Source organism: Homo sapiens, chromosome 3 (assembly GCF_000001405.40).
Source record: "Homo sapiens chromosome 3, GRCh38.p14 Primary Assembly".
Lineage (NCBI taxonomy): Eukaryota > Metazoa > Chordata > Mammalia > Primates > Hominidae > Homo > Homo sapiens.
In genome coordinates this window covers 121,038,341-121,060,919 of record NC_000003.12, presented here as the reverse complement: position 1 = coordinate 121,060,919, position 22,579 = coordinate 121,038,341, and the positions used below count along the sequence as shown (strand labels likewise).

At 36.1% G+C, this 22,579-nt stretch overlaps 1 protein-coding gene and 1 non-coding gene across 15 annotated transcripts in view; both read right to left on the bottom strand.

The window, feature by feature from the left end:
* Positions 1–22,579, bottom strand: part of STXBP5L (syntaxin binding protein 5L) — a 516,557-nt gene that overhangs the window by 363,842 nt on the left and 130,136 nt on the right. For all 14 annotated transcript variants that reach the window (NR_145516.2, XR_924217.3, XR_001740373.2 and 11 more), the window contains exons 4-5: positions 19,139–19,220; positions 15,385–15,485 (exon numbers count right to left, since the gene is read on the bottom strand). Coding sequence is in view for 10 of the 14 variants with exons in the window: in NM_014980.3 (NP_055795.1) it covers positions 15,385–15,485; positions 19,139–19,220 (183 nt within the window). In the remaining 4 variants the exon portion in view is untranslated. The remainder of the gene's footprint in view (positions 1–15,384; positions 15,486–19,138; positions 19,221–22,579) is intronic.
* Positions 11,205–11,280, bottom strand: MIR5682 (microRNA 5682). Its single transcript, NR_049861.1, has one exon. It is a non-coding gene; the product is annotated as a microRNA 5682 (primary transcript).

Sequence of the window (22,579 nt, the reverse complement as noted above, 5' to 3'; positions counted from 1 at the left end):
GGTTTTTTGAAAAGATCAACAAAATAGATAGACCGCTAGCCAGACTAATAAAGAAGAAGAGAAAAGAATCAAATAGATGCAGTAAAAAATGATAAAGTGGATATCACCATTGATCCCACAGAAATACAAACTACCATCAGAGAATACTATAAACACCTCTATGGAAATAAACTAGAAAATCTGGAAGAAATGGATAAATTCCTGAACACATATAACCTCCCAAGTCTAAACTAGGAAGAAGTCGAATCCCTGAATAGACCAATAACAAATTCTGAAATTGAGGCAGTAATTAATAGCCTAACAACCAAAAACAGTCCAGAACAAGACAGATTCACAGCTGAATTCTACCAGAGGTACAAAGAGGAGCTGGTATCATTCCTTCTGAAACTATTCCAAACAATAGAAAAAGAGGGACTCCTCCCTAACTCATTTTATGAGGCCAGCTTCATCCTGACACCAAAATCTGGCAGAGACACAACAAACAAGGAAAATTTCAGGCCAATATCCCTGATGAATATCGATGTGAAAATCTTCAATAAAATACTGACAAACCAAGTCCAGCAGCACATCAAAAAGCTTATCCACCACAATCAAGTCAGCTTCATCCCTGGGAAGCAAGGCCGGTTCAACATATGCAAATCAATAAACATAATCCATCACATAAACAGAAAAAATGACAGAAACCACATGATTACCTCCAAAGATGCAGAAAAGGCCTTTGACAAAATTCAACACCATTTCATGCTAAAAACACTCAGTAAACTAGGTACTGATGGAACGTATCTCAAAATAATAAGAGCTATTTATGACAAACCCACAGCCAATATCATACTGAATGGGCAAAAACTGGAAGCATTCCCTTTCAAAACTAGCATAAGACAAGGATGCCCTCTCTCACCACTCCTATTCAACATAGTATTGGAAGTTCTAGCCAGGGCAATCAGGCAAGCAAAAGAAATATAGGGTATTCAAATAGGAAGAGAGGAAATCAAATTGTCTTTGTTTGCAGATGACATGATTATATATTTAGAAAACCCCATAGTCTCAGCCCCAAATCTCCTTAAGCTGATAAGCAACTTAAGCAAAGTCTCAGAATACAAAATCAATGTGCAAAAATTACAAGCATTCCTAGACACCAATAATAGACAAACAGCCAAATCATGAGTGAATTCCCATTCACCATTGCTACTAACAGAATAAAATACGTAGGAATACAGCTTACAAGGGATGTGAAGGACCTCTTCGAGGAGAGCTACAAACCACTGCTCAAGGAAATAAGAGAGGACACAAACAAACGGAAAAACATTCCATGCTCATGGATAGGAAGAATCAGTATGGTGAAAATGGCCATACTGACCAAAGTAATTTGTAGATTCAATGCTATCCCCATCAAGCTACCACTGACATTCTTCACAGAATTAGAAAAAAAACTACTTTAAATTTCATATAGAACCAAACAAGAACCCACATAGCCACGACAATCCTAAGCAAAAAGAACAAAGCTGGAGGCACCATGCTACCTGACTTCAAGCTATACTACAAGGCTACAGTAATGAAAACACCATGGTACTGGTAACAAAACAGATATACAGACCTATGGAACACAACAGAGGCCTCAGAAATAACACCACACATCTACAACCATCTGATCTTTGACAAACCTGACTAAAACAAGCAATAAGGAAAGGATTCTCTATTTAATAAATGGTGTTGGGAAAACTGGCTAGCCACATCCTGAAAACTGAAACTGGACCCCTTCCTTACACCTTATACAAAGATTAACTCAAGATGGATTGAAGACTTAAACGTAAGACCTAAAATCATAAAAACTCTAGAAGAAAATCTAGGCAATACTGTTCAGGACATAGGCATGGGCAAAGACTTCATGACTAAAACACCAAAAGCAATGGAAACAAAAGGCAAAATTGACAAATGGGATCTAATTAAACTAAAGAGATTCTGCACAGCAAAAGAAACTATCATCAGAGTGAACAGGCAACCCACAGAATGGGAGAACATTTTTTGCAATCTATCCATTTGACAAAGGCTAATATCCAGAATCTACAAAGAACTTAAACAAATTTACAAGAAAAAAACAACCCCATCAAAAAGTGGGCAAAGGATATGAACAGACACTCCTCAAAAGAAGACATTTATGTAGCCAACAAACATATGAAAAACAGCTCATCATCACTGGTCATTAGAGAAATGCAAATCAAAACCACAATGAGATACCATCTCACGCCAGTTAGAATGGCTATGATTAAAAAGTCAGGAAACAACAGATGCTGGAGAGGATTTGGAGAAATAGGAACACTTTTACACTGTTGGTGGGAGTGTAAATTAGTTCAGCCATTGTGGAAGAGACTGTGGCGATTCTTCAAGGATCTAGAATCAGAAATACCATTTGACCCAGCCATCCCATTACTGGGTATATAACCAAAGGATTAGAAATTATTCTACTATAAAGACACATGCACATGCATGCTTTTTGCAGCACTGTTCACAGTAGCAAAGACTTGCAACCAACCCAAATGCCCATCAGTGATAGACTGGATAAAGTAAATGTGGCACATGTACACCATGGACTCCTATGCAGCCATAGAAAAGGATTAGTTCATGTCTTTTGCAGGGACATGGATGAAGCTGGAAACCACGATTCTCAGCAAACTAACACAAGAACAGAAAACCAAACACCGCATATTCTCACTCATAAGTGGGAGGCGAACAATGAGAACACATGGACACAGGGAGGGGAATATCACACACTGGTCCTGTTGGGTGATGGGGGTGTAGGGGAGGGATAGCATTACAAGAAATACCTAATGTAGATGACGGATTGATGAGTGCAGCAAACCACCATGGCACTTGTATACCTATGTAACAAACCTGCACTTTCTGCACATGTATCCCAAAACTTTAAGTATAATAAAAAATTTTTAAAAAACAACAACAACAAAAAACATAAATAAAAGAGCAAGGTGTTATGCTACTTGGGAGACAGAAAACAATATGATGAGTCAGGCTATAGTATGTATTTGGAAGATAGAGTGAGAGACAGAGAATGAGAGATAGAAAAAAGAGATATAAAAAGAATTTAAAAATTTTTATTATTATACCAAATTATTGATATATTTTCTAAAGAAATGTTATAAAAAATAGAAATGCAAAAGTTAAGTTTAAGAAAGAGAACTAAAATAGAATGGTTAATCAAATTGCAGAATATCCATTAAATAGAATAGTACATAATAATGAAAATAAATAAACTACAGCTAAATGCCACATGGATGGAACTCATAAATACAGTGCTGAGCAAAGGAATCCAAAAGCAAAGAACTATATATATATTATTCCATTTTTATATGTGTCAAAAACAGGCAAAATTAATCTATAGAGTTGGAAATTAGGATACCTGGGGGTAAGTGACTGGAAGGTAACATAGGGGAGTTTCTATGAATCTAGTAATTTTCTGTATCTTGATTTAGGTGTTTGTTACACAACGGCAAAGTTATTTCAAGGTGTACACTTAAGATTTAAACAGTTTCCTGATGATTCAGTAAAATTTACAAACAAACAAAGAAATAGGGAAAGTCTATATAAAGAGTGATCCTTTAGAATATACTATAGAGGGAAAAAAGCAAGACACAAAACTGTATAACATGCTACATTAACATGTAGCATTAATTTTGCCTGTTTTTTGACGCATACAAAAATGGAATAATATATATGAAGTTTTCTTTCGGCTTCTTTTGCTCAGCACTGTATTTATGAGTTTCATCCATGTTGCATTTAACTGTAGTTTATTTATTTTCATTGTTATGTAGCATGTTATGCAGTTTTCTGTCTTGCTTTCTTCCTTCTTTATAATATATTCTAAAGATCTTGCTAATTTGTTTAACAATATATTGTGTGTAATAAAATATATATAAATATATATGTATATTTTGTCTCGCTTTTTTCCCTCTTTATAATATATTATAAAGACCTTGCTAATTTGTTTAAAGGTCTTGCTAATTTGTTTAACAAAAAAATATGATATTCTCTCTATATATGATATATGTAAAAATATATGGTTTTCTATTTGGCTTATGTACATATAAGAAAGAAAATTATGTTACATATTATATTTGCTTATATATGTATGTAATGAACGTCTATAAAGAAAAAACAAATTAATTACACTGTTTAGCTCTGCTGAGGGGAAGTAAGTAAGTGTCCAGGGGACAGGAATAGAAGAAAGATCCTTTATTGCATACACTGTTGTACCTTTTGAATGTCAAACCCAGTAAATATATTAGTTATGCAACACTTTGAAAAGAATCAAAGCCAGTTCAAATTGCCTTTATAAAATATTTTAAATGTGGGTTATAAATTGGGTCTGCAAAAGCCAATTCAGATGGATCCAGTTTGCCAGAGATTTCATAAATTATGGAGTTTTCAACAAAATATTGCTTCCTTCCAGTTTAGTTAATAGTTTTCAGAAATTCTCTGATAGTAAGTAGCAGAACACTAGAGTAAGAAAAATTAAATATACATAATAAGTACAGATAATTTAAGGGTCTGTATATCGTAGCCTACATTTGAATTTCACTCAAAAGCCATATAAAACAACTCTATGCTTTCTCCAGTATTACATAAATTTATGATTGTGATAGCAAGGACTGCTATGCCTAAAATATGAATGTTTTATTTTATTCATTACTCAGATCATGCATTACAAAAATCAAGACATTTTTTCTTCCCTATTTAGGTTTAAAATCGTATTTGTAAGAAGTCCAAGGATCATCCACCAGAAAGGCTTTAATATATAAGCCTTACCAGATGCAAAGGTTCATACTTGTAATCCTAATACTTTGTAAGGCCAAGGCAGGAGGATAGCTTGAGCCCAGTAGTTCAAGTCTAGCCTAGGCAACACAGTGAGACCCCAGGCCAAGCACAGTGGCTCATGCCTCTAATCCCAGCACTTTGGGAGGCTAAGGTGGGAGGATTGCTTGAGCCCAGGAATTTGAAATCAGCCTGGGCAACATGGAGAGAATCTGTTTCTACAAAAAAAAAAAAAAAATTAACATTAGTCAGGCATCATAGTGCACACCTCAGGAGGCTAAGGTGGGAGGACTGCTGTAGCCCAGGAATTCAAGGTTGTGTGAGCCAAGCTGATGCTACTGTACTCCAGCTTAGGTGACAGAGTGAGACCCTGTCTCAAAAAAAGCATAGTAAGAAACCATCTCTACTTTAAAAAAAAAATAGCTGGGTATGGTAGCACATGCCCATAGTCCCAGCACTAAGGAGGCTGAGGCGGGAGGATTGCTTGAGCCCAGGAGTTTGAGGCTGCAGTGAGCTAGGATCACACCATTGCACTCCAGCCTGGGAGACAGAGCAGGACCCTGTCTCCAATAATAATACTCCAATAATAGTAATAATAATAATGAAAGCCTATTACTTAACAATCTAAGGCTGGATTCTGCCTTCAAAAATTGTAAGACTAAAGACTGTAGGTGCCCTAATAAAATAAGCTAAAATTTATAGTATAAATTTATAAACTGAAACACATTTAGCATAAACATAAGAGTACTTAGAAAATTTACAGAATTAAACGGCTAATATCAGATGTTTTGGAGAATGTCCCAAAAGATGCTTGGTTAAATTCTCCTATAGGACCTGAACCTCCCATTCACCATACTTCGATAGATAATTTTATCTCCTCCAATAAGTTATGATCATAATGAATATTCTCATGTTACATGACAATATGTATGTATCTTTCTTAAGAGATAAATATCACATTTATCTTTAATGTAAGCATTAAAACATTTTCAAACTTCCTGTGATTAAAACTTATCTCAAATCTGTCAGCTTGCTCTTTTATGTTTCTACCAATTAATCTAACTCAGTTGAGATAATAAAATCACTATTGGAAATCATCACCACTAATCAATTCTTCCTCCCAAAAAGTCCATAAAAGGGGCCAGAACATTGCCTTCAACATTCCAATTGTGAGGGGAAATAAAAACACTCTGTCCATCCACATAAAAGTATACAGTCAGATCTATTCAAAGTATTAGAAGAAAAATCTTACAAACAGAGAGAAAGATAAAATCAATATGGTGATCTAAATAGGTTAATATTTTACTGGTAAAGAAAAAGAAACAGTAAAACAACTCTTTTTAAAATTTTATTATTATTATACTTTAAGTTTTACGGTACATGTGCACAATGTGCAGGTTTGTTACATATGTATACATATGCCATGTTGGTGTGCTGCACCCATTAACTCGTCATTTACCATTAGGTATATCTCCTAATGCTATCCCTCCCCCCTCCCCCCACCCCACAACAGGCCCTGGAGTGTGATGTTCCCCTTCCTGTGTCCATGTGTTCTCATTGTTCAATTCCCACCTGTGAATGAGAACATGCGGTGTTTGCTTTCTTGTCCTTGTGATAGTTTGCTGAGATGATGGTTTCCAGTTTAATCCATGTCCCTACAAAGGACATGAACTCATCCTTTTTATGGCTGCATAGTATTCCATGGTGTATATGTGCCACATTTTCTTCATCCAGTCTATCGTTGTTGGACATTTGGGTTGGTTCCAAGTCTTTGCTATTGTGAATAGTGCCACAATAAACATTCGTGCACATGTGTCTTTATAGCAGCATGATTTATAATCCTTTGGGTATATACCCAGTAATGGGATGGCTGGGTCAAATGGTATTTCTAGTTCTAGATCCCTGAGGAATCGCCACACTGACTTCCACAATGGTTGAACTAGATTACAGTCCCACCAACCGTGTAAAAGTGTTCCTATTTCTCCACATCCTCTCCAGCACCTGTTGTTTCCTGACTTTTTAATGATTGCCATTCTAACGGGTGTGAGATGGTATCTCATTGTGGTTTTGATTTGCATTTCTCTGATGGCCAGTGATGATGAGCATTTTTTCATGTGTCTTTTGGCTGCATAAATGTCTTCTTTTGAGAAGTGTCTGTTCATATCCTTTGCCCACTTTTTGATGGGGTTGTTTGTTTTTTTTTCTTGTAAATTTGTTTGAGTTCATTGTAGATTCTGGATATTAGCCCTTTGTCAGATGAGTAGGTTGCGAAAATTTTCTCCCATTTTGTAGGTTGCCTGTTCACTCTGATGGTAGTTTCTTTTGCTGTGCAGAAGCTCTTTAGTTTAATTAGATGCCATTTGTCAATTTTGGCTTTTGTTGTCATTGCTTTTGGTGCTTTAGACATGAAGTCCTTGCCCATGCCTATGTCCTGAATGGTATTGCCTAGGTTTTCTTCTAGGGTTTTTATGGTTTTAGGTCTAACATTTAAGTCTTTAATCCATCTTGAATTAATTTTTGTATAAGGTGTAAGGGATCCAAATTCAGCTTTCTACACATGTCTAGCCAGTTTTCCCAGCACCATTTATTAAATAGGGAATCCTTTCCCCATTTCTTGTTTTTGTCAGGTTTGGCAAAGATCAGATGGTTGTAGATATGCAGAATTATTTCTGAGGGCTCTGTTCTGTTCCATTGATCTATATCTCTGTTTTGGTACCAGTACCATGCTGTTTTGGTTACTGTAGCCTTGTAGTATAGTTTGAAATCAGGGAGTGTGATGCCTCCGACTTTGTTCTTTTGGCTTAGGATTGACTTGGCAATGGGGGATTTTTTTGGCTCCATATGAACTTTAAAGTAGTTTTTTCCAATTCTGTGAAGAAAGCCATTGGTAGTTTGATGGGGATGGCATTGAATCTATAAATTATCTTGGGCAATATGGCCATTTTCACGATATTGATTCTTCCTACCCATGAGCATGGAATGTTCTTCCATTTGTTTGTATCCTCTATTTCCTTGAGCAGTGGTTTGTAGTTCTCCTTGAAGAGGTCCTTCACGTCCCTGTAAGGTGGATTCCAAGGTATTTTATTCTCTTTGAAGCAATTGTGAATGGGAGTTCACTCATGATTTGGCTCTCTGTTTGTCTGTTATTTGTGTATAAGAATGCTTGTGATTTTTGTACATTGATTTTGCATCCTGAGACTTTGCTGAAGTTGCTTATCAGCTTAAGGAGATTTTGGGCTGAGACAATGGGGTTTTCTAGATACACAATCATGTCATCTGCAAACAGGGACAATTTGACTTTCTCTTTTCCTAATTGAATACCCTTTATTTCCTTCTCCTGCCTGATTGCCCTGGCCAGAACTTCCAACACTATGTTGAATAGGAGTGGTGAGAGAGGGCATCCCTGTCTTGTGCCAGTTTTCAAAGGGAATGCTTCCAGTTTTTGCCCATTCAATATGATATTGACTGTGGGTTTGTCATAGATAGCTCTTATTATTTTGAGATATGTCCCATCAATACCTAATTTGTTGAGAGTTTTTAGCATGAAGGGTTGTTGAATTTTGTCAAAGGCCTTTTATGCATCTATTGAGATAATCATGTGGTTTTTGCCTTTGGTTCTGTTTATATGCTGGATTACATTTATTGATTTGCGTATATTGAACCAGCCTTCCATCCCAGGGATGAAGCCCACTTGATCATGGTGGATAAGCTTTTTGATGTGCTGCTGGATTCTGTTTGCCAGTATTTTATTGAGGATTTTTGCATCGATGTTCATCAGGGATATTGGTCTTAAATTCTCTTTTTTGGTTATGTCTCTGCCAGGCTTTGGTATCAAAGCCTGGATGCCAGGATGATGCGGGCCTCATAAAATGAGTTAGGGAGGATTCCCTCTTTTTCTATTGATTGGAATAGTTTCAGAAGGAATGGTACCAGCTCCTCCTTGTACCTCGGGTAGAATTCGGTTGTGAATCCATCTGGTCCTGGACTGTTTTTGGTTGGTAAGCTATTGATTATTGCCACAATTTCAGAACCTCTTATTGGTCTATTCAGATATTCAACGTCTCCCTGGTTTAGTCTTGGGAGGGTGTATGTGTCCAGGAATTTATCCATTTCTTCTAGATTTTCTAGTTTATTTCCATAGAGGTGTTTGTAATATTCTCTGATGGTATTTCTGTGGGATCGGTGGTGATATCCCCTTTATCATTTTTTATTGCATCTATTTGATTCTTCTCTCTTTTCTTCTTTACTAGTCTTGCTAGCGGTCTATCAATTTTGTTGATCTTTTTGAAAAACCAGCTCCTGGCTTCATTAATTTTTTGAAGGGTTTTTTTGTGTCTCTATTTCCTTCAGTTCTGCTCTGATTTTAGTTATTTCTTGCCTTCTGCTAGCTTTTGAATGTGTTTCCTCTTGCTTCTCTAGTTCTATTAATTTTGATGTTAGGGTGTGAATTTTGGATCTTTCCTGCTTTCTCTTGTGGGCATTTAGTGCTATAAATTTCCCTCTACACACTGCTTTGAATGTGTCCCAGAGATTCTGGTATGTTGTGTCTTTGTTTTCGTTGGTTTCAAAGAACATCTTTATTTCTGTCTTCTTTTCGTCACGTACCCAGTAGTCATTCAGGAGCAGGTTGTTCAGTTTCCATGTAGTTGAGCGGTTTTGAGTGAGTTTCTTAATCCTGACTTCTAGTTTGATTGCACTGTTGTCTGAGAGACAGTTTGTTATAATTTCTGTTCTTTTACATTTGCTGAGGAGAGCTTTACTTCCAACTATGTGGTCAATTTTGGAATAGGTGTGGTGTGGTGCTGAAAAAAAATGTATATTCTGTTGATTTGGGGTGGAGAGTTCTGTAGATGTCTATTAGGTCTGCTTGGTGCAGAGCTGAGTACAATTCCTGGGTATCCTTGTTAACTTTCTGTCTCGTTGATCTGTCTAATGTTGACAGTGGGGTGTTAAAGTCTCCCATTATTATTGTGTGGGAGTCTAAGTCTCTTTGTAGGTCACTCAGGACTTCCTTTATGAATCTGGGTGCTCCTGTATTGGGTGCATATATATTTAGGATAGTTAGCTCTTCTTGTTGAATTGATCCCTTTACCATTATGTAATGGCCTTCTTTTTCTCTTTTGATCTTTGTTGGTTTAAAGTCTGTTTTATCAGAGACTAGGATTGCAACCCCTGCTTTTTTTTGTTTTCCATTTGCTTGGTAGATCTTCCTCCATCCCTTTATTTTGAGCCTATGTGTGTCTCTGCACATGAGATGGGTTTCCTGAATACAGCACACTGATAGGTCTTGACTCTTTATCCAATTTGCCAGTCTGTGTCTTTTAATTGGAGCATTTAGTCCATTTATATTGAAAGTTAATATTGTTATGTGTGTATTTGGTCCTGTCATTATGATGTTAGCTGGTTATTTTGCTCGTTAGTTGATGCAGTTTCTTCCTAGCCTTGATGGTCTTTACATTTTGGCATATTTTTGCAGTGGCTGGTACCGGTTGTTCCTTTCCATGTTTAGTGCTTCCTTCAGGAGCTCTTTTAGGGCAGGCCTGGTGGTGACAAAATCTCTCAGCATTTGCTTGTCTGTAAAGTATTTTATTTCTCCTTCAATTATGAAGCTTAGTTTGGCTGGATATGAAATTCTGGGTTGAAAATTCTTTTCTTTAAGAATGTTGAATATTGGCCCCCACTCTCTTCTGAACAACTCTTTACTGATCTTAAAGTTTTTTGATATCCTTGAAATTTCTGCTACATTACTTATTTTAAACTAAAATAACCAGAATTAGGACTAAAGAAATAAGTCCTATCTAGTTTCAACAAATTTCTAAAATATAAATTCCTTTCCTCTTAAAAAAAAAGACTAAGTTTAGAGATTTGGCGTGAGATAGCTGAGTAGAAGTGGGTAATAAGCACCACTCTCATGGAGAGAAGAAACAGTGGTGAATGGACACTAGCTCTTCAACCAGAACATCCAGGTGGAAACATGGGGATTTATCAGGGAAACAGCATCACCCACAGTGAACAGAGAAGAGCAAGACAGGACAATTGCCCACCCAGAAGTGGCATGGAGCCAGAGGAGTCCTCACATCACAGGGAACAGTGAGTGAGTGAGAGTCCCCAGGGATTCACACTTCTGTCATGGACCTTTGCATCCTTGGACTCAGGATCAGGAGATTTCTCATGATCCCTGCAACCAGGGCTTCCAGACAAACATGCAAAGAGTTATGTGGAGTCTTGGCAGAGCCATCACTCAGGTACTCACAGACTCCCAGGAGTGCTGGATCCCCAGGCACCTCAACACCAGCAGATGCAGCTCTAGCAATGGAGGAGGCCAGGCTCCCTCACGTCTCCAGGAAAGGGGCTGAATCCATGTGGCTGAAGAGTAACTAGGCCCAGTAGACCTTATCCTGCAAGGTGCTACAGGCCTCGTCTCTGCAGCACCTTGCAGGATAAGACCCATGGGCCTGGGACACTAGTGAGACCACCACAGCCCTACCAGAATTCTCGGATCAGGAGCAGCTCTGTGCTTTTCTGGGACAAGCTTCTAGAGGGAGAGGCAGACCACATCCACAACCCTCCCTCCTGTTTGCCCTCAGGCTGGGGAGTGTACTCAGTGATTAGGGGCAATCGTAGACACTCAGTAAAAGGCAGCCACCTTAAGGAAAAGTAGCCAGATTGTTTTACACAGGAGCCCCCACCCCTGCTACTTCTCACTGAGCAAGGCCTCCTGACCTAGAACCTCAACCACCCCACACTGGACTCTTAGGCCACTACCAGCTCTCCACTTCCCTGGGACAGAGCTCTCAGTGGGAAAGGCAGGCCACCATGTTTGTTGCCCTACAACCTTCCCCACTGATGCCCTCAAGATCAGGAGGGTACACAGTGATTAGGGACTACCATGAACCCCTAGCACAGTGCAGCCACCTTACAGAAAAGCAGCAGACTGTTTTCTACATGGGTCCCCAACCCTGCTATGGTTCTCTGGGCAGTGTCTCCCTACCGGGGTCTCTAGCCACCCCCTACCTAGGCTCTCAGGCTAGTAGCAGCTCTGTGCTTTTCTGGGACAGAGCTCACAGAAGGAGCAAGCAGGCCACCATTTTTGCTGCCCTGCAGCCCTTGCTCCTGTTGCCCTTGGGATTGAGAGGACATATAGTGGTTGGGGACCGATACAAACCTCTAGCACAACACAGCCACTTTATGGAAAAGCAGCCAGACTTGTCCACATGCCTCCACTACTCTTCACTGGGCAGTGCCTCTTGACCTGGGCTCCCAGCACCTGTAGTCCCAGCTACTCAGGAGGCTGAGGCAGGATAATCGCTCAAACCAGGGAGGCGGAGGTTGCAGTGAGCCAAGATTGTGCCACTGCACTCCAGCCTGGGCAATAGAGCAAGACTCTGTCTTAAAAAAAAAAAAAAAGACTCTAACTGATCTGATAGAGTGGAAAACACACTACAAGAATTTCATAATGTAATTGCAAGTATTAACAGAAGAATAGACCAAGTTCAGGAAAGAATCTGAGAGCTCAATGACTGGTTCTCTGAACTAACTCAGTCAGAGAAAGAAAATGAACAAAACACTCAAAAAATAAAGGATTATGTAAAGAGACCAAATCTCCAATTCATTAGTATCCCTGCAAGAGATAAGGAGAGAGCAAGCAACTTGGAAAATATATTTCAGAATATCACCCATGAAAACGTCCCCAGCCTCACTAGAGAGGCCAAAATACAAATTCAGGAAATGCAGAGAACCAGCGTGAGATACTACACAAAAAGACCATGGCCAAGACACATAATTAGATTCTCCAAGGCTGAAAGAAAAGGGAAAAAGTGAAAGGCAACTGGAGAGAAGGGGCATGTCACCTACAAAGGAAACCCCATCAGGCTAACAGAGGACCTTTCAATAGAAACCTTACAAGCCAGAAGAAATTGGGGGTCTATATTCAGCCTTACTAAATAAAACAATTTCCAAGCAAGAATTTCATATCCAGCCAAACTAAGCTTCATAAACCTAGGAGAAATTAGATTCTTTCCCGATAAGCAAATGCTAAGGGAATTTATGACCACCAGACCTGCCTTACAAGAGGTCCTGAAAGGAGTGCTAAATATGGAAAGCAAAGACTGTTATAAGCTACTACAAAAAGACACTTAAGTATACAAACTGTTGACCCTATAAAGCAACCACACAAACAAGTATGCACAATAGCCAGCTAGAAACATGATGAAAGGATCAAATCCACACACATAAATATTAAACTTGAATGTAAATTGGCTAAATGCTCCAATTAAAAGGCACAGAGTGGCAAGCTGTATAAAGAAGCAGGACTGAATGGTATGCTGTCTTCAAGAGACCCATCTCACATGTAATGACACCCATAGGCTCAAAGTAAAGGGATAGAGGAAAATCTACCAAGCAAATGGCAGTCAGAAAAAAGCAGGGGTTGTTATTTCAGACAAAACATACTTTAAGCTAACAAAGATCAAAAAAGACAAGGAAGGACATTACGTAATGGTAAAGGGTTCAATTCAACAAGAATGCCTAACTATCCTAAATATATATGCACCCAACACAGGAGTACCCGGATTCATAAAGCGAGTTCTTAGAGACCTACAAAGAGACTTAGATTCCCACACAATAATAGTGGGAGACTTCAACACCCTACTGACAGTTTTTAGATAGACCATCCAGTCAGAAAATTAACAAAGATTTTCAGGATCTAAACTTAACACTTCACCAAATGGAACTATTAGACATCTACAAAATGCCCTACCCAAAAGGAACAGAATATACCATCTTCTTATCTGTACATAGCACATACTCTAAAATCAACCACACAATTGGACATAAAACAATCCTCAGAAAATCTAAAAAAAATGAAACCATACCAACCACACTCTCAGGCCATAATGCAATAAAAATAAAAATCAATACTAAGAAAATCGCTCAAAACCATACAATTGGATGGAAATTAAACAACCTGGTCCTGAATGACTTTTGGGTAAACAATGAAATTATGGCAGACATCAAGAAATTCTCTGGAACTACTGAGAACCAAGAAAACATACCAGAATCTCTAGGACACAGCTAAAGTAGTGCTAAGAGGAAAGTTTATAGTGCTAAAGGTCCACATCAAAAATTCATAAAATCTCAAATTAGCAACCTAACATTACACCTAGAGGAACTAGAGAAACAATACAAAACAAACCCAAAGCTAGCAAAAGACAAGAAATAACTAAAATCAGAGCTGAAATGAAGGAAACTAAGAGGCAAAAAAACCATACAAAAGATCAATGAGTACAAGAGTTGGTTTTTTGACATAAGAAATATGATAGACCACTAGCTAGGCTAATAAAGAGAAAAAGAGAGAAGATCCAAATAAACAATCATAAATGCCAAAAAAGACATTACCACCAACCCCACAGAAATATAAAAAACCCTCAGAGACTGCTATGAACACCTCTATGCACATAGACTAGAAAACCTAAAATAAATGAATACATTCCTGGAAACATACAAACTCCCAAGATTGAGCCAGGGAGAAATTGAATCCCTGGACAGACCAATAAAGAGTTCCAAAATTAAATCAGTAATAAAAAGCCTACCAACCATAAAGGACCCAGGACAAGAATGATTCACAGCCAAATTCCACCAGATGCATAAAGAATAGCTTGTACCATTCTAACTGAAACTACTCCAAAAAATTGAGGAGGAGGAACTCCTCTCCAACTGATTCTATGAGGCCAGCTTCATCCTGATACCAAAACCTGGCAGAAATACAACAAAAAAATCTTCAGGCCAATATCCTTGATGAACACAGATGTAAAAATTCTCAACAAAATACTAGCAAACTGAATCCTGCAGCACGTGAAAAAGCTAATCAACCACACTCAAGCAGGCTTTATCCCAGGATGCAAGGTTGGTTCAATAATCACAAATACATAAATGCGATCTACTACATAAACAGAACTGAAAACAAAAACCACATGACTATCTCAATAGATGCAGAAAAGTCTTCTGGTACAATTCGATGTCCTTCATGTTAAAACCCCTCAACAAACTAGACATTAAAGGAACATATTTCAAAATAAGAAGAGCCATCTATGACAAACTCACAGCCAACATCATACTGAATGGGCAAAACCTGGAAGCATTCCCCTTGAAAACCAAAACAAGACAAGGATGCCATCTCTCACCATTCCTAGTCAACATAGACTGGAAGTCCTAGGCAGAGCAATCATGCAAGAGAAAGAAATAAAAGGCCTGTAAATATTAATAGGAAGAAAGGAAGTCAAATTATCTCTCTTTGAAGATAATATGAGTCTACACATAGAAAACCCCATAATCTCAGCCCAAAAGCTCCTTAAGCTAATAAACACTGCATTAGTAGGTGACTGGATCTATATCAATTACGCATTTTCTACAAAAAAGAAAACACTATGAAAGTAAGCATAAACATTAAATTATTTCTAGCTGTTGAGATTATGAGGAAAAAAGCCTGTCAAGTTAACAAAAACTTGCTCAGGAAATAATTTTGTTGTACATTAAGAAATTGTTTAATTCATAGGTTCTTACCGTTCCCGGTTAAATTTAAGAGAATGGAGTATGGCTGGCCTTTTTTGTCTAAGGTTCCACAAATGAAGTGTATCATCTGAACTTGCACTGACCAAGGCACCCTAGAACAAAAAGAAGATAAAGTAAGTGTGTGATTTACTTAATTTAGGGTTTTTTTAATCACAAACAAGCTAATTTACTCAATGTTTACTACCTGAAGAGTTACTTTTGTTATCTCAGAAATATAAGGAAGGATAGGTGCATAAACTTCAATCAGGAAGGGTAAGAATGCTGAAAGTAGAAGAGGCAACTGACCCACTGCATTTCAACGGTCAGGGAGACTAGCTTAAGGAATATTTATTTACCAATAGAGAGGATTAATTATTATAGCACTGTTATGGCCATTAAAGGTTTTTCTTTGGGAAAAAATAGTTTAGGGATGGTTTTTGTTTCTACTGTTTACACATATACTATATAGCCTTACAGAGAAGAAAATATTCAATGCAGTCTTACAAAATTGAATACAGGTCATATAAAAATTCTCCTTTGCAAGAATTTTCTGTATATTTGGAAAGCGTATATTCTTCCTAAAAAGTATATTTGGTATAATTTAATTTGCTTCTTATAGTCCAAGAAGCTTCATCAATTATAAAGGAAATATCCATAATAAAAGAAAACATTTCTCCAACTAGAATTTAGTATAACTATAAAATTATACTAAGATTCCTTTTATACAGCACCACCAAATACAAATGAATCCTATTTCGCATACAATAGGATATTTTCTACCTCTTAATGTGGCAGAAAGCATGTGGACAGATAATAACTGTTTGTATGACTTTGTATATATGCTTAAACTATTTATTTGACTGGGTTAAATCAGATCATTTTAAAATGTTAGAACTTTTACCATAATGACAGCTAACCAGCTGAAAATGTCGATGCTTACCCATTCACAGATCCTAAATCCAGAGCATTAAATGTGTTCTCTAAGAGTGATCTTTCAGAACCTTGGTTGTCCAGAGATACCTAAAAGGCTTTTTATATTTTCCAAAGTACTTTGTTAGAAGTAATCTCTCATAGTTTACAGTATCAATCACAGATATCCCATTTAGATGCTAGGAAGAACGATATTGAAATTGCTAGCATTTATTTCTTCTTTAGGAATTAGAAGAGAGAAGATAGGAATCTAAATGCCCTTCTATAATAATTTCTAAGCCAAAAAAATGCTCATGTATCCTATGATAGGTCTCTTTATATTTGGTACCTGTGATTTTAGTCTCAGAGAGGAATGGCTTTATAAAAATAGAAACATAATCAAAGATCATATCCAAGAAAATATTTAGAAATTTGTATGATTTGCACATTTATATCTAATTACATACATACATGTTCAAAGATGTATATATTGATATATACATCTTAACATGAACTCAGATAATTTCCTTCAATGAAATAGGAGGTATTCTATATATAAGCCTTGATAATTTTTGTGTTTGTTTGCCTGTTTTATTTGTATACTGTACTTATGCTTCCTATAAACAAACGAGAAATTTATTAGGATTCCTTGGAAGCATTTGATGAGTTACACTTGATTTTTTTGAATACAGTATACTGGTCTCATTTCTCAGAGAGGTGGAAGTTCACCTGAGATGGGGTGAGGATAGAACATGATATGTAACAACAATAAAACATTCTCTACAAGAGATAGTTACATGCTATACAGAAGATAAAACATGCCAAAGGCAATGTTATTAAAGTAGCATATATTCAATAATATCTTACAGTAATACCTAAATAATTCTAGTGAGGAACTCAGTATTCTTTTTTTGTTTGTTTGTTTGTTTTTGAGATGGAGTCTCGCTCTGTTGCCAGGCTGGAGTGCAGTGGTGCGATCTTAGCTCACTGCAACCTCTGCCTCCCAAGTTCAAGCAATTCTTCTGCCTCAGCCTCCTGAGTAGCTGGGACTACAGGTGTGTGCAACCACGTCCAACTAATTTTTGTAATTTTAGTAGAGACGGGGTTTCACCATGTTGGCCAGGATGGTCTTGATCTCTTGACCTCGTGATCCACCCACCTTAACTTCCCAAAGTGCTAGGATTACAGGCGTGAGCCACCGCGCCCGGCCAGTATTCTTAATTCTGTGATAAAACTGAGATGTGACTTATCATCGGAGAGAAGTGAACGGTACCACTAAGCATAACAGCACCAACAGAGACAGACACATGAAAGTAAGCAGAACACCACAGTGTCTAGGTTCATTTATAAAAACAAAGTGAACCTACCAAAAGCACTATAAAGATCTGTGAAAATGCTTAAAACTAAGAATAGAAAAACCAGTCAGGTCAGAAACTGGGAAGTTTGGGAAAAGATACAGCAGCTTTGTGTGAGGTACATAGGGCGAGTAGTTCAGGATAAATGAGGTGAACAAGGCAAGGAGGTTGAAGGCTTGTCTTTATTTATTCTTAGTTATGTACCACAGGGGCAAACTTAGGACCTGGAAGACAAGTCTCAAAGGATCAGACCCAGTACAAATCACATGGAAACAAATTATGCCTGTAAGTATACATCCATGCAGAAGGCAAAAAGCTGAGATCCCTCAACAAGGAACTACAGAGTATCACTGAGACCTCGAGAAGCCTGACATTCTAGATAATAATGAGCAGTTATTACAATGAAATATTTTTCAAATGTTTTCTTTACCTTCCTTTCTCATTTCAGTACCCCATAGCAAGTGTGCCTACATGGTGAAATATGCTACGTTTGTCAATAAAGAGGATCTCATAGTCCTCTGAGAAAGACTTTGAGCCAAGAGAAGTGAAAAGTGAACATTTGCCAATATCTTTCTTGCCTTGGGTTACCTCTGATATGAAGTTCTATGAGACATTTTACCCACACTTATAATTGTAAGTTCTTAGGAAGATAAACAGATATAGATATATGCAAATATATGCAGACACTGAATGAAAGATCATTGTCATGCCATGAGAAAATAACCAAACATTTTTTTCCGAGACACTGAGTTCAATCTTCTAAGTGCCTGCATTTGGCATGGCACAAACTTTTAAAGCATTTTTGCATTGACTGGCTCACTTAATATAAAAGAAGCTCTAGAAGACTCTAATTTCCACTATAAAAATCTGATTTAAGAAAGCCTAAAGTAGCCTTCTACTAATGGAATATCTGCAACCTCTCTGAGCTTCATAAATACATATTTTGTTTTTAGAGAGTTCCTCATCACCATAATTTTATAAAAATGTAGATACAGTAGAAAGCTAATTTCCATAATAACTACGGACACAAAAATAACTACAAATGCATATCTATTCCAACAAATGTATTTGGAGATATATGCAGATAAAAGGGCCCATACGTATATAAGCAAAAGGATCATTTCAGGGAAGATAAAGATAAAATATGAAGTTAGGCCTTAATTACAAAATTTAAGTTGGTGGGAAGTGAGTGTATAGAAAAAAAATTAATGGCCAGTGAAGCAATCAAAAGACATTAGGATTTTTTCTTAATTTAAATAATTAAACTAAATTATGCTATATAGTAACAATAACAGAATATGGCATATACAATCTTTTTTCTTTAAAATTTAATAAATTAACCAATACAGGAGTACAGTCTTTTGTGAAAAATATAATCAGAAGTAATATTGCATGCATATATATTTAAGCATTTAGAATCACAGTATTTAAAAGATTACATTAACTGATTCACTGTGTAGTGGGGGAGTGTGTGATTTAAGTAGTCAAAAAATAATCCTTACCTCATTGATCAAAAATTGGAGCTGTAGGACAGCTGCACCACTTTCATGTTGGCAATAGCAATCAACACCAGGTCTCCCGAGTCTAATATAATAAAAGTCAAGGATTCTAACATTTTAATTAGCACCAATATTAATGAGCAAAGAAACTAACTTATTGATCAACAGATGTTTTGCTATTTGGTTTCCCTTATTTTTATAAATAGTTGAAAAATCTTACTCTTAGTAGATGTAAATTAAATTGTATACCTCAGATGTTTAATACTCCAACAATTTGAAAAAAAGAATGACAATAAGGAATTTGAAAGATGGCAGCTTTTTCCATGAAGTTAAACAAGAATTGGGAATCTAGATACACCTCATTTCATTTAAGATTTTTTAATTGATTAAACACTATTTTCACCACAATAAATTCAAAGTGAGTCAATAACTTCATATAATTAAATCATAAGATGAGACTTAAAAGACACAGGTAAATATGTTGATAATCTTGACATATAAAAAATCTTCTAAGCATAATTTAAAACTCAGAGATCATAAAGAAATAGACTGATATATCTGACTAAATAAAAGTATAAAACATCTACACAGAAAAACATGATAAGGTAAAAAAACGAGAAAACTGGAAAATAAATGGTAACAAGTCATCTACATATGCTACATAACATATAAGTAAGAGAGAGAGAAAAAAAAGGAAGGAGGAGGAATGAAGGTAAAAAAAAAAGAATGAGAAAACACCATATAACAAAATTTACTTACATATTCTATACCAAATGATCTGATATATATGTATATTTACTTATCATTTGTTTGCTTGCATAAAGATACAAATTAGATGAGAGTCTCCACTTACGGTCATAATGAGGAATGTGGGCCAGATTTATTCACCACATAAAACAATTAAAAATCTGTACAAAATGTATGTAACAAATTTTAAGACACTGCATATCAGGTAGGAAATGACAATGATCCCTGAAAGAGAGAAAATATATAAGGCGAGGCTTATGATAGCCCCAGTTTACTGCCTAGAGAGAATTTCAAGGCTCCAACACAAGGAAGGGGAACCCAGATAAAATCTAGCAGGCCTACTGAATGGGGAGACAGAATTAACAGTCTAGGGAGGCCAGGGACAACTAGAGTTCATAGGGTTGAGTAGCAAAGAAGAAAATGTGACACACAAAAAGAGCTCTAGAGATTTGCAGAAGGGTCTTCCTCAAATCTTTAGCTAAGTACTAAGGAAGGAATAAGTTTGAAGAAACTATCTGAGACTGAGGAAAGAACAAACCAAGAAGAAAAAGCATCCTTCTTGAAGAATAAATCAAGAAAACAAACCAAAAATAAAGTTTATGTTGAGGCAAGAATTTTTCATGTTCCCACCAACAAAAGTGCAAACCCTCAGAATTCACATACAAAGTACTCAGAGAATATTACCTCAGTATGAGGAAAAATTCCTCCCTAAGATAAAGACTGCTCTGGTTCTGCTTAGCAGTACTTAAAACCAGGTTACAAAAGGATCAAACTGTTCCACATAGCTTAACTGCATACTAAACAAAGATCAAGGATAATTATAGAAATACGAAAACCTTTAGCACTCAAAAACGTAAAATTCAAGAGGTATGGCATTCACTGCAGAGAAGTAAAAAAATATAACTTGTAACAAGGAGAAATATCAATAGAAAGAGACCCAGAAATAAAACAGGATAGAAATAATAGACAGAGATAGTAAAACATTTATTATACTACACTGCATATGTTGAAGAAGGTAGAGAGATTGAGCATGTTAAGTAGATATACAGAAGATAGATCTATCTATCCATCCATCTATCTACCTATCTATCTCAAATAGAATATCTAGAGATTTTTTTAAAAAAATTCATTGAGGATTAGTGAACTTGAAAATATGTCAATAAAAACTACCCAAAATATAACACAGAGAAAAAAATCACTGAGGGGTAGAGAAAGAACAGCACACCATTGAACTGTGGGTCAATGTCAAATGGCCTAATTAGTTGTAATTTGAGTAATAAAAAAGAGAAAGAGGAGGGAGAGAAGAGATAAAATTTTTTTTAAATAATGACCAAAATTAAGTTTTCTTCACAAATGAAACTGAAATGAAGACACTTTTCAGACACATAAAACTGAAATAATTCATCATGAACAGACCTGCACTAAAAGGAATGTGAAAGAGGGTCTTCAGGCAAAAGGGAAATGATATCAAATAGTATCTGGATATACAAAAAGGAAAAAAGAACATTTAAAATGATAAATATATGGGTAAATATAAAATACAAGTTATCTTTAAAAAATAATTTACTGTTTAAAGCAAAAATAATAATAGTACATTTGTGGTTTATAACGTATGTAGAAGTAAAATGATATTAACAATAACACAAAGGCCAATAGGAGGGGAAATAGAAACTTTACTATTATACCATTCATAAAGTAGTATAACATTAATTGAAGGTAAATTTATATAAGGTACAGCTGCACACTATTAATATAAACCATAAGGCAATCAGCAAGAAGATTACAGCTAATTAGCCAACGAAGGAGACAAAATGAAATCATTAAAAAGTTTAACAAAAAATAACGCAGAATATTGTTGGGGGGAGCTAAGAACTAGTAAGATAAATAGAAAACAAAGAGCAAGATGGTAGATTTATACCCAGCTATACCAATACCACACTAAATGCAAACAGTGTAAACACCCCATTTAAAATGCAGTGATTGTGAGAAAAGACAAAAATGCAGACCTAAGTATATGCTTTGTACAGAAACCTCCTTTAAATATATACAAATAGGTTAATATATACAAATAGGTTAAAAGTTAAAACATAGAAAATTATACACCATGCTAACATTAATTAAGATATAGGTGGAAAGATATATTAATATACAGTAAAGTTGATTTCAGAATACAGAACATTACCGGGGTTAAAGGTGGTCACTTCATAATAATAAATGGGTTAAATTATTAAAAAAACATAAAAATCCTAAATTATACACCTAATTACAGAGCTTAAAATACATAATACAAAATTGATAGAACCACAAAGAGAAACAGATGAATTCACAATTATAGTTCGAGTTTTTAGCACCCCTTTCTCGATAACTAATATAAGACAAAATCAGTAAAAATGAAGAAGACATAAGTAAAAGGCTATCAACCAACTTGTCCCAATTGGCATTTATAAAACACACAACCCAAAAAGAGCAGAATAAATATACTTTTGAAATATAAAAGAAACAATTACTAAGAGATAAAATATTTCGAACTATAAAACAAGTATCAAAGCATTTAAAAGTATTGAAATCATAAAGAGTATAGTTTCTGACCACAATTGAATTTGAAATTAATAACATCCAGAAAACCCTCCAAATGTTTGAAAATTAAATTATAAACTACTAAATAAGCATTGATAAAAAACAGTAGATAATTTAATA